This window comes from Homo sapiens, chromosome 6 (assembly GCF_000001405.40).
Source record: "Homo sapiens chromosome 6, GRCh38.p14 Primary Assembly".
NCBI lineage: Eukaryota > Metazoa > Chordata > Mammalia > Primates > Hominidae > Homo > Homo sapiens.
In genome coordinates, this window is record NC_000006.12 from 75,118,552 (window position 1) to 75,131,728 (window position 13,177).

At 36.3% G+C, this 13,177-nt stretch overlaps 1 protein-coding gene and 1 non-coding gene across 11 annotated transcripts in view, besides 1 other annotated feature; both read right to left on the reverse strand.

The window, feature by feature from the left end:
- COL12A1 (collagen type XII alpha 1 chain) overlaps positions 1-13,177 on the reverse strand; it is a 121,728-nt gene that overhangs the window by 34,226 nt on the left and 74,325 nt on the right. For all 10 annotated transcript variants that reach the window (NM_001424116.1, NM_080645.3, XM_011535435.2 and 7 more), the window contains 11 exons: positions 12,301-12,430; positions 11,540-11,682; positions 9,745-9,874; positions 7,800-7,919; positions 6,576-6,722; positions 5,704-5,820; positions 5,397-5,543; positions 4,779-4,853; positions 2,751-2,890; positions 799-922; positions 492-635 (listed from right to left, as the gene is read on the reverse strand). In NM_001424116.1, coding sequence (NP_001411045.1) covers positions 492-635; positions 799-922; positions 2,751-2,890; positions 4,779-4,853; positions 5,397-5,543; positions 5,704-5,820; positions 6,576-6,722; positions 7,800-7,919; positions 9,745-9,874; positions 11,540-11,682; positions 12,301-12,430 — 1,417 coding nt within the window. The remainder of the gene's footprint in view (positions 1-491; positions 636-798; positions 923-2,750; positions 2,891-4,778; positions 4,854-5,396; positions 5,544-5,703; positions 5,821-6,575; positions 6,723-7,799; positions 7,920-9,744; positions 9,875-11,539; positions 11,683-12,300; positions 12,431-13,177) is intronic.
- Positions 376-1,575: an enhancer, noted in NCBI's record as "MED14-independent group 3 enhancer chr6:75828643-75829842 (GRCh37/hg19 assembly coordinates)". NCBI's record gives its function as "activates an origin of replication core promoter dependent on BRD2, BRD4, P300/CBP and CDK7 cofactors, and independent of MED14, by STARR-seq in HCT116 cells {active_cell/tissue: HCT116}" and the evidence as "EXISTENCE:reporter gene assay evidence [ECO:0000049][PMID:35650434]".
- Positions 10,158-10,231, reverse strand: SNORD156 (small nucleolar RNA, C/D box 156). Its single transcript, NR_145788.1, has one exon. It is a non-coding gene; the product is annotated as a small nucleolar RNA, C/D box 156 (small nucleolar RNA).

A 13,177-nucleotide genomic window follows, 5' to 3' on the forward strand; every position in this document is an offset into this window, starting at 1 on the left:
GCTCTCAGTATATTTGATTGGCAAGATCTATCCCACAGATGACTCCCTAAGACCTCAATACTCCTTATTTGCAACATATCTTTTAGCACTCATTAAGTCTGCATCTGCAAAGATGTGCTAAAGCTAAAGGCTTCCTTTTTTCTCTCCTTGCACAGGAAGCAGTATCAAGATTCATTTCTGCTATGGCAGGAAGCCTGCTCTAGCATCATCTCATTATCATTGCTTTCTGTAGCCTTCCAGCCAGTATGGGAAAATGTGGTTTGCCCCTTGTCAATCCTGAACCACATCTTATACAAAGAATACCCCATGTCATTTTTGAGCAGTTGCAAACCATTCCATAATTAAATATAAACTAGCATTACGAAGGTATACCGTGCAGAGTGAAACAGAAACAATAAAGTAACATCAGCAAATTTAGTCTTTTGCAATCATTTGTGAACATTTAAAAATGTTAAAATTTCAAGTGCAATCAAATTCATGTATGTGCTTGCCTGACTGCTGGATGACCAAAGCCGCCTTCTTGACCTCATCCTGGGACCGACCGTCCGTGACCACAACCAACACCTTAGGGACATTCTTCCTCATGCCGCTCTCCCAAGTCAAGACTTTCTCCTTGATAAACGTGAGGGCCTTGCCTACAGAATGTGGCATGGAAAATTTTAGTGTCACTTCAGTGAAAACTACCCAAATGCCATTAGTCACACCCAACTGATAAGAATCTGGATATCAGCATGAGATAATACACTCAGTTCTGCCACTACAAATGCTTGAAGAGTAAAGGTCTACATATACACATACCTGTTCTTGTGTTTCCTCCTCTGTACCTAATATTCTGGAGGGCCCCAAGGGCTAGGGCCTTGTCATTGTACGTGTTCAGCTTGAACTCAGACTTGACCTCATCGCTGTATTGCACAAATGAAACCTGAAGGAAAATGTGATTTGGCAGTGAGCATAAGTCATCTCATTTTATGTTTCAATCTTCAAATGATTCTCTAGCTGCGGAATAAAGCGGTGGGGGTGTAAAAAGTATCTCAGACCTGATAGAATATTGTAAGCTCTTTATAGCTAATATTACAACATCTACTGCACTTGTCTCATTAAATTCGTTAATTTTCAATCTTCAATGAAATTGTCATAATTGGCATTAATAATGAAAATATACTATATTCACGTTGTGCCTTTCTCTAGGACATAGAAAGGGATGAATAAAGGTGGGGAGTGGTGAGATCCCAGGATTAGACATGAGAACATACCATCTCGAATCCAAATGTTGGTTAAACAGTTGACTCAGCCAACTGCTACTTCCCACTGACTATATCCGTTCTTTATGGCAATACAGAAATGTCACATGTGTGATTATAATCATCCCTCATCACAACCTCATTGAAAATGGGATTTAGTGGAAAAAGTACAGACTTTGTACTCAGGAATCGCTGGGTTCAAATCCTAGCTCTGGCATTTAATAGCTATGTGACAATGGATTTTTTTTATCAGTAAAATGAGGATAACTATACTTACCTTCTAGGATTGTTTTAAAGACTAATAATCCTGTATACAAAGTAACTGGTACATAGATGTTAATAAAATATGATCAGTATTTTTTTTAGAAATACAAATTCCTAAAAGGATGAAAAAAGCTTGCTAGTTGAATTAATGTGGTTAAATTAAGAATATAACCACATTAAATTAAGAATATAACTAGGGTGAATTTTTACTCTTCTTGGGTTGGATCAATGTCCAGAGGATTATTTGAGGATTTGAAATTTAGTATACTACTATTCCATAAAAGAGGACAAGTTTTGTTGATGAAATTGTTTGTGGTTTATTTCAAAATAGCTTATTTTCATAATGCCACAATGATGATCAAACTGCCAAAATAAAGAAGAAAATTCACCAAAGAAATGGGAAAGAAAAGGAGAGAATTGTTTTTTAAAAAGATAGTCTTCTGCTTTAAGGAGTCAATGATTTAGATAGAAGATTAGACAGAACAGAGTCACACAATTAATGACAATATGAAGTGATATTTGTTGTAATGCAGCAATATAGACAAAATAATTCAAAAGCATGGAATGGGTAAAGCCATCATGGAACCTCACCAGAGGGGGTGAAATTTTAATTGGGTCTTTTAACTGTGTTAGGGTTACATGATGATTTATTCTTTGAGGCCCCTCCCTCATGGAAATATAAACTTCTCTAAGTACTTCAGTATAACAAATATATTTGGAGTGATTTCAGAGCAAGATAATTGGTAGTTATCCTTTTAAAAAAACAAATGAAATACGCTTTAGCTCAACAATGGACCTTCTTCTGGTCAAGGTAATTATCTGCAAAGTAATGATAGAGGCAGCAAGTTCCACACACCCACTCCAGTCACTGTTTATCACTGATTCTTCTAACTTCACAGGGGATGACAATCACAAAGAATTTAATATCCAGAACTTTGGATGAACTTCTATAGAAATGTGTCATGATTGGAAGTTTTAAGCAGGAAGTTAGAGTCCCTTAGAATCCCCTAAGTTCTCCAACAGGAATATTATCTAGCCAAAGATAAAAACTAAGGGAACATTTATTTTTCTATTGATTTATCATTTATACCCAATTCCCTCCCAAAAATACATGAATAAAAGAAATAGCAAATAGGAGAAGGTCAAAACAGAGTTTATATTGAAAAGACTTTTTACTTAAAAAGAGAAGTTCAAAGGAAAGGCAAGACATCACAAATGAGTAGCCACTGGCGGAATGACACTAACCTGAATCCCAGCAGGACTGATTTCATCAAAGCCTCCCACAGTATTGAAGATGAATTTTACAACTTTGTTAAAATTATCGTCCCCAATGCTCCAGGAGGCATCAGTCAAGAACACAATATCTGCCTTGGCCCCTTTGCATACTGCAAAAAAAGAAAGCAGAGGAAGCCCCAAATCTCATGAATTCTTTCATTTAAATGAAATCACATAATTGAAAATGCAATATAACACCTTGCTACGCAAAGTGTGGTTCTGCAGCAACAGCACTGCCTGGGAGCTTGTTAGAAATGCAGAATCTTGGGTCCTACCCCAGACTTCCTGAATCAGTACCAGCAGTAATAAGATGACTCACATGCACAATAAATTTAAGAAGCATTGCGGGGACCCTCAATACCTGCTCTGGAATTACTCCATTTGTTTAGATCCATTATGCAAAGATACAATCTTACTTAATGGAACTCTTCAAGTAGTTTTGAACAATAAATGAGAGGAGAAATCAAATAAAAAGTTTGGAGATTTGAAATGTAATTATTAAAGATTGACTTTATGCAAATAAGTCCTTTTTTTTTTTTTTTTTTAGACAGGGTCTTGCTCTGTCTTCAGGCTGGAGTGCAGTGGTGTGATGATCTTGGCTCACTGCAAACTCCACCTCCCAGGTTCAAGTGATTCTCCTGCCTCAGCCTCCTGAGTAGCTGGGACTACAGGCATGTGCCACCACGCCCAGCTAATTTCTCTATTTTTAGCAGAGACGGGTTTAACCATGTTGGCCATGATGGTCTCGATCCACCTGTCCCGGCCTCCCAAAGTGCTGGGATTACAGGCGTGAGCCACCGCACCTGGCCAAGTCCTTTGTAAAATTTAAATTAAGCCACTAGAATCATATGCAGGAAAGGAGAAGATTTTTATTGGAATATCTAGACTTAGAGGCTAAGAAAAAATTCCAAAAACAATTAACAAAATTTTAGTTTATAAAAACTTAGCATATAGAAGTATAACACCAAGAGTGAACCCTAACGCAAACTGTGGACTTTGGGTGGTGATGATGTGTCAATGTAGGTTCATCGGTTGTAACAAACGTACCACTCAGATGTGGGATGTTAATAGTGGAGGAGGCTGGGCATGTGTGGGGAAGGGCAGTCTGTCTGGGAGATGAAAAATCTCTGCATCATCCCTGCAATGTTGCTATGAACCTAAAACTACTCTAGAAAATAAAGCCTATTTAAAAAGAAAAAACTTGTTTTTAAACCAAGATTATTTACTGAATTTCTTTCTGTATCTAATTTAAAGGAATCCATTATTATTTTACCCCACAATAATACACTTTTAATTTTTAATTTTACTTATATAATAGGTTTAACGAAGTTGTAACGTTCGACATCCTTCTAAGATAAAATAAAAATATCTGAAATGCTTTCTATTAAATGCTGGAAACAGCATATGAGAAAAGAATAATACAGTAGTTATTTAACTAAATTTAATTTGACAAAGTGCTAGAGAATTGCCCTCAAATGCTGAGAGATCAACCTTAATAAATCAGTATGTCGTTTCACCAGTTCACTGCAAGTTACAATTATCTTTCAAATTTTGGTGAATGGAAAATTTTTTAGCATTGTATAATCCAGGGAACTTCTCAGGTTGGACACCAGGAATTTTAAAGCCAACAGCCTCAGGGCTTCGGTCGCAAATATAGCCAAAAGGGTTCACAGCGCTTACTGATGCCAGCAGCTAGCAGAAAGAAATGTCCACCATGTAACTATGGACCATGGAAGACCTAAATCTGTAAAACTGAGGAAACAGACTTCCAGCTGAAGATCTGGAATAATTTATGACTGATTTTATTCACACCAAAATGTGCCCAGAGATGGAGAGAAACAAATTACTGGTTATCTTTTCTTTCAATCTAAAAACTCTTCAGCAGCAATAATAGATCAGAAATGTTCTATATTAATTGTAAATGATGCACATGCAGCGTAAATAAGAAGTCTGTAACTCCCTATCAGCTGAACGTATTGCCTATTTAGCTGTACTTACCATCCCGGGCTGGTGGAATGGTGGGAGGGGGAGGAGGTGTGGGTGGCTCTGTAGGGGCTTCTGTTGGTTTCACAGCTAAAATTTAAAAATAATAATTATAAAAACACACCATGTGCACATTTGATATCCCAGAAAGTAAATTTTAAGAGCAATTTAAATCCTGGATACCAAATCAAGTCGTACAAAATGAGACACCATTGTCATCGGTACTGACATGCTGGGGATTTTATTCCATCCAAATTGATGTCACTGGTAGTCATTCAACATCCACTACAGCTACAGAAAATAAAGATCTAAAGGGAAAATGTAAGGCCTTCAGATAGGGTCAAATGAGTAAAAGTCACTAATATGAATTCACCTTCTCAGCGAGAGCCATCTCTCCCTCCTTTAGCCCTTCCTCAAAGTAGCACCAACTCAATAACAGGGACAACTTGCAAATTGCTACAGAAAAAGGTCCTGAACCAGCTTTAGACTCCACATTCAGGAATCTGCCATCATCCCATCATTATTGCTACCCCTACGGAGAGGTACCTGCACAGGATTCACTTAAGTCTTCCTTACCTAGAGCATTCTATTCTAAAGCCTTATGAAAGCTTTCCAGATTCCTCAAAAACTTACTGGTATGTTCTTTAACAGAGACTCCTGGTCCCTCGAGATTTGGTGTCTGCACAAAAACAGTGACACCATAATCAGTGTCTGGTGAAAGGCCAGTGAAGCAGTGACTGGTTTCTGATCCACGCACTGTAATTTCTTGTCCCCTTGTTCCTGATTATGACAACAAAGGAAAATGCCAGTGTCATCACCAATTATATTTCAAGAAAATTTTATATCGCATTGTTATAAACAAAATGGCATCTTCTTTACTGAAATTTAAAATGTTTCCACTACATGCTCCAGATCATTTTTTTCTTTTTTACACACATACCATCTGCAGGGCTTAGTTTTAGCCTGTAGGAGGTGGCTGCCCGGTGAGGTGACCATTTGACACAGAATGTATCCCACCCAATCTGGTAAGTTTTCAGATCTGTTACATTTAAATATACTACAAAATAAAGAAAGAAAGAGATTTACTTTGTAAATTGAGGCAAAAAGTGTACTTTTAATCATAACACAATTTTCAAACTTTCACTGTGGCTAAAAAAAAGTTCAAAATTGTATTATGTTTCCTTATAAGAAACATACATGAATCATATTTAAAAATGTGGTACTGCCAAAATAGACCCCCCTTTCTTTCGCTGATTTTCAAGGAAAGGAAATTCCATATAGTCCCTCTCAAAACTAAGAATTTCAAAAACATCTCATGGAAAATAATGAAAACAATTTCTAAAAGGCTATCTGCTAAGTCGTTAAATAGTTATCAAAGCAATGGTGACCTTAAAATATATCTGTGGACTGAATCACACTAATCATGATTCAATAATTAAGTCAAATTAAATCAATGAATTTAGGTAATATATATCTTGGTATCAAATGTCAAGAAGAACTAAGTAGCATCACAGATCTAATTTTACAGGTCATTCATGGATAAAATGACAATTTCTATAATTTTTATCTTTTAAAATTCAAAGTATAATATTTTATGTGAAATACACAAATTTCTCACCATATATATTTTTATATACTCAATTATAATATTTATGTATTTGAATAGGTATTTTGTCTAACCAGACACAAAATAGCCTGCCTACATAATGCTGAGGAAACATGTATATGTTCAGAAACAGGAAATTAAAACAGGCTGACCTGGTAATTTCTACTACAGTTTTTCTCACAACCATGAAAATATCCATGACTCACATGTAGTGCCTTGATCTGTCAAGGGGACACTGAGTCCAGAATCATATTGAGCATAAACATTCACATCGTAGGTGGTGCTGGGATTGAGATTGTGTAAGGTATATGATGTCATTTCTCCAACAAAGGCTTCCATGGGCTCATTGGAACCTTTATTAACAACCACAAAAATACACAGAAACATGCCATCAATAGCATGAAATTTTGCTTAAAATTAAAGATCTTATAGTCAAAGGGTATTATGAACACGATTAATTCCATAGTCCTCATACACTTACTCACTGGGGCACATGCTATGTTATATGACAAATATGAAACTGTAAGCAGACACTGAATCCTTCACCCTCCTATTCTCAAAGCATAGCACAGTATTTGGAATATAGTAGGTATATAATCAATGTTTCTTTAGTGAATGAATTCTCAAGCTTCTTTCTCAAGCCCTATTTTGCCAACATAGTGTTTTGCATATAGTAGGTGTCCAACTGACACTTTTTCATTTATTGTAGAGATAATTTAAGAATTTCTATCTTGGACCTCATTCCACATACTTTGGCTGCTAAACTCCTTAGTTACCAACCCCACTTTCTTTTTTAAGTTCTCTTTCTATTTCTTACATAGGTTCAAATTTTACTTCCTTTATCTTGCCATCTCTCTTTCATGTTTTTTCTAGTTCATACTCTTACTGGATATATGGAAGATGCCCTAAGAAATCTGCATTTTTCTTCCAGTTTCTCTAAGAATACAGACAAAATATTAAAACAAAAATAACAAATAATTTAATCAAGGTGATACTAATTTAGGTGAAATTTTCAGAGGGGATTTGAAAGCAAGGCTGTCATGAATAAGCTGCATGGAATCTATGCCCAAAATAAAATAATACCTGGGCATAGTGGGAAAAATACATAGGTATATTGATGTAATATGCATTATTTCATGATCATATAGGATGTCTGAAGACAGGCATCTTTGATTTGTGCAACTTTATGAACCAAGTCAAACTTTTTAATCATGACATTTAATAAGAATCTCATCTACACCTATAATAACAATGGTACTTTAGATGACTGGCTTAAAATGTTATTGCCAAAAACATTGCCTTTGGTTACAGGAAACTTGGTGTGATCTGAACTCTCAGGAGAACCCAACAGTGGGGGATGAAAGAGAAAATACCCTCATATGCAAATAACCCTCCAAAGCATTTCTATGATGACAAAGGCACTTCCTTACCCACTGGCTTATATACTATTTTATATCCAAGAACTGGAGAAGGTGAAGGATCCCAGGACACCCTGAATCTTGTATACCATTCGTCAGAGATGTGTATGTTCTGAGGAGGAAGGAGTCCCACTGAAAACAAACATTGACACACATTACTGACCTTTTATTGGCACACAGGGAGAGCACAAAACTTTAAAAGTATCGGTAGGAAAGCCCAATGGGAGCAATTTCATAATATCCCATAATGTCTTTATCCAGAAAACAATTAAAAGGCATTGAAGTATTCAAAAAATGCTTAATAGTTTTCCAAATTTAAACAGCAACTCAAATAGACTCAAGAACTAGTGATTTCCAGAGCAGCCTTCTCAGCAGGAAGCAGTATCCAGAGCGGAAGTGTTCTATGACTCAGGATTATAGAAAATAAAAGAGATCTCAAATCATTTTTAGAATGTCATACATTACAGATTGTTGGAAACAGAAAGCAATTTAGAAACTATCTAGTCCAACCACTTCATCAAATACATAAGATATTATTTGCCCAAAACCACCCCAGCTACCTAATAATGTTTTTTCCCTGTACCTCTCTATCCTCCACCACCATTACCTAGAATAAATCCTTAAGCTTCCAGAGATACTGCCCCCAAGCCCACAACTTATAAAATCAATGCTGTTCAGGTAGTATGTTAAGTAGTTGCTGAGTTTACTATTCACAGCATTGCGCAAATAACGAATCCAACTTGAAAAACTTCTTTTTCATAAGAAAAACAAAACATGACTTTGGCCCTTCCTGGAAAATCCAAGATCTAGTTAAAAAAAATCCACTTTGATAGCATGAAATTCTGAAATATGCCATTTTCCCCAGGAAAGTCCCAAAATATAGTCTAAAATCTGAGAAAATTTAAAAAGTGAGGTTGTTAAAATCATCTTGAGTCATGTGAGTCTCCATTGACTCAGTCTGTAGACAACAATATCAATAAATACAGATTCTTGACCTTGAGAGACTGAGCTGAGTCAACTCTAGTCCTGCTTTTCCCTTAGGAGCTTTCAAATGTCACCTCTTCAAATTCTGTAATGTTGTCAAGATCATTTAAGCACAAAAAGACTTTTGGCAAGTGACTGCAGAAAGACACCTGAAGTCATGTTACTTAAGTAGATTTTTGGTGAATGAAGTGTAAAACAGCAATGCAAATATCTACCAGTAACAAAACTCAGATCTAGAGTTCATCCTACCTTTATGCTAAACTAGTGGCTCTCAGCCATTGCTGCACATTAATTAGAACATCAGCAGGTCCAGCCCACACCTCACATAGTTACATCAGTATCTCTGGGAGTGGAACCCAGGCGTAAGTATTTTTAAAGCTCCTCAGGTGACTGTAGCAAGCAACCACATTAGAGAATTTTTAAACCCTAAGAAATTACCACCAGTATAGTGTAAAAATGGGTCTGAACATTGATAATTCTATGCAAATTGCTTAGTACAATAAAAAATACATTTTTCTTTTTTAGAAAAAGCTAAATTTGTAGACAGAAAATGATTGCTCATCATCTCATTTCTGTATTTATGGCTTAAGATTCAATCGCAATGGAATATTTCTTACTGATACTATATTGACTTAACAATTTAGTCTTAACTGACACCATACCAGTTGAAACATTATTCAGAGAATATGCAATAGTTTTCCAAAGAAGAAATAAAACTATCTTAAGCGAATAAAAATATGTACATGGTCTTCTTTTTCTTCTCTTAGTGGACCTTTAAAAAGTTAAAAACAAATTCCTTTCACATGTCATCATTTTGACAAAATTTAATGTCTAATAAAAATAATACAATATTAGTGTGGTATTTGAGATGTATTGGTAAAGATAAAATTTTAGGTTTTAAAAGGTATAAAAGCAACATTAACATATTGACAATTTCAAAGCAAAAATAAAAGGGGGAGTACAAAACACTTACCAGTTCTTCCATTTCCTGTTAGATGGCCACCATCTCCATCTTCATAAACAGCAATAACAGTAATTTTATATGGAGTGTCAGGTTGCAGGGGCTGCAGTATTACATTGTTTCTTCTGCCTGGGACTGTGGTCTATAGAGGAAGTTAAATTATAAATATATTACCATCTAGAAGACTTCCAGATCAAAAGACAGTATTGTTTTATGTATTCCCATAAACAGTAATAGTAGTTTTTTTCACATTTTATTTTTGTTACACAATGCTCGTGACAAGACAAACTATCTTCACTTCTTCTCTGCAGCATAGGAGAGTGGTTTTAGAATCAGACAGCTCTGGGTTCAAATCCCAGATCAGCCACTTAACAGCCACGTGACTTAACATCTTTGAAGAAAACTGTATTAAAAGCAATGCCATGTGTGCTTCAGAACACCTTACTGAGTATTCCAGCACTCAGTAGTAAGTTTGTTTCCTTCAGATCTCATCATCACATGTTCCATTTTCATGTACAAATATGTACCCAGTACCCGCTGTGGACCAGGCACAGTGGGACAGGTATTAGCTACTGGGAATCCACTGGTGAGCAAAAATTGACTAACTTTCTGGCCTCAAAAATATCAGTTTGGCTGACACTAGTTAGCTGAAACAGATGGGAATACATTCAACTACCTCTTCGAAGAGGAAATGAACCAGACATCTCAATCTCTCTTCTAAACCTATGCTTTGCTTCTACAAACAACATGGATAAGGTATGCCAGTGAATCCTGGCCTGGAGTCCTATAACTACAAATGATAAATTGTATTTTTAATGTTTTCGGAAAGTAAAGGGAAATTGCATATTTGTCCATGGCAAGGCTGAACAAACACTAACCATGAGTTTCTCTGCTTTGGCAAACTAACTGTAGTAGTACTGTTTATCTCATTTTGATCAGAAACTATAAATGGTAGTTACATGTGTTTCTTATTAATAAAAATAGGGACTTGAATTAAAGGTTACTATATCAAGTTCCAGTAGATGAAATATTTCATCACATGGGGCTCAGGGAGGGAAAATTATCTAAGACGATCTATGTGGTAAAAAGATGGCAAACCACAGACCTAATTTACCATCAACATCTTGTGCAATATTCTGCAAATGTATCACAGCAATTAATCACTAAATTTCAAATAAAGCAGTTAGTTTTTCCATTTTTCCACTCATAACAAATGGATGTGCATAGTGAGGGCTATGAGGAAGCTACCAGAAACTTGAATCTGGTTCTGGAAAGACAAACTATGACACTCAAAAAGTTTGAAGCTAATAGGAGAGTATTTATATTCCAAAACTAAAGTGTACCGCAAAATGTTAAGTTTAAAGAAAAGAGAGATCAATTAACACTGGAATATTTAAGGGAGACCTTGTAGAGGAATTAGATTTGAGGAAAGGGTAAGATTTGGATAAATACATTATTTGAATATTAACTTAGACATTCCAGAATGATAGGTATCACATTTCACTAAACTTGGTTCCTGTGGTGTCATTAGGTGGTTAGAAATGCTCAGTTAATCATGTGATAAGATAGTTTTTCTATCTGTCTTTAGAATAAAAATGAGCCCAAAGACATTGCTTCTCTGTGGTATGGGAGGCCAGAAAGACTAAGTAAGCACATTTGGGTGGTCCCAACGTCATGTCAGAGAAAATCCTAAAGTGTGACTATCAAGGACTCAACCGTACTCACAGCATACCTCTAAAGAAGTTTAACTTCACTGTCCATTCAGCTAAGATGATAAAATGTGCCAATAAATGAGTATCAGACTTACATATTCATCAATTGGATCACCAACAGTGGGAGAATAGATGATCCTGTACTGCTGAACTGGCCCATCAGCATGATCCCAGGCTACCGAGAGGCTATTGGTTGTTTCACCAAAGACTCTCAGGTTCCTTGGTCCACTGCGTGGTACTAAATAAATAAAATACAATAGAGTTTGTTGCCTGCCTGTGAGCATTACCTAAGTCAGATTAAGGAGGTTGCTTGCATGTGTTTCATTCACCATTCACTCAGATGTTTCCTCCCATATAATAAAATATACATTTATGGTTTTAATGTGAAATCATAAACAGTGTATTTCAGAGCTATGGTTACATGCTGAACTTTCAGTGACCTAGAGCTAGCTTTGAAAGGTAGACTAGGAAAAAGGGGGATTATTTTAACCACTATAACTATATCTATTCAATAAAACATAAAGACTAAACCCTCACATTTCCAAAGTCCCCATTTGGTAAGATGATTCACTGCAGAGTAGAAAGAGGGAAAAAAAGAAGATACAGAGCAGAAGAGGGGAAAAAGGGGAGAAACCCCTCCTTAACTCATGTCCCAAATGAGAACACGAACAGAAGAAGTTCACGTCACACAAACAACAGTCACAGACCCAATGTTTTCGCCTGGAATGTAAATGTAGGGGATCCCAGGCAGAAAGCACCCATCTCTCACCACCCCCCTCCCACCACTCATTCAATCAGAGAAGCCCTGCCAATCTAGCTACAAGGGAATGGAATGGAGAAAGGATTTCTGCCTCACGCGTTCGGCCCTGGGCAGGGCTGGGATTTCCCTCTCCATCCGAGTACAGAGCCACAAGGTTCACGGAATAGAGTGTGTCCGGAATCAGCCGCTCCAGATGCACCATGCGCGTGTTTCCTGGCACTACTATCTGCAGGAGAGGAAATGCCAAATTCTGCCTGACAACAACTCAAATGCTTACCAAGTCTTCAGTTAGTCATCACAATAGTATTTATAATAAAATGTTGAGCCCAGACACATCAGAAGCCAACTGTGCTTCTCCATAAGATCCACCCAGACCATATCATTAAACAAAATTTGTCCTCAGAAATTCCCTTTCCAAAAAAGTGACCTCATCCTTGACCCTTAGTAGCTTCAGTTATCTCCGTTTATGTTTGTTATAAAGATTCTCAAATATAACATGCAAAGCTCATGATATTTCCCCAAAAAACATCCTGCATGTTAAATACACAAGAATAGGAACTCTTATTGTGGTGGGGGAGATTTTGTGTTGAAATAGAGACTCCATACAATACATACAGGTAAAGTTGTCTTAATATGTCCTACCATACATGGGCATGAAAATCAGTGTTCTTGCCAAATGCATATATTGTTAATCATTTGTTTATCTTTGTCAACACTGTTTATTTTTGCAAAGACTATAAGTCAAATTAGTTCATAGGTTTATTTTCCTTTAGGTATTCTGATACTATGCTTATTGAAATTAGCAATTTCTGATTTCTAAATTGTTAGTCTACTTACAAAACTGAATAATGTTATGAATGAAAGATAGATTGGGCAATTTGTAAGAACCAGTGAAGGTAAACTTTAAACTATTTTCATAACAAAGACATATTGACAAGGTCTAGCAATGATTTACATTTATTACTGGGGTTTT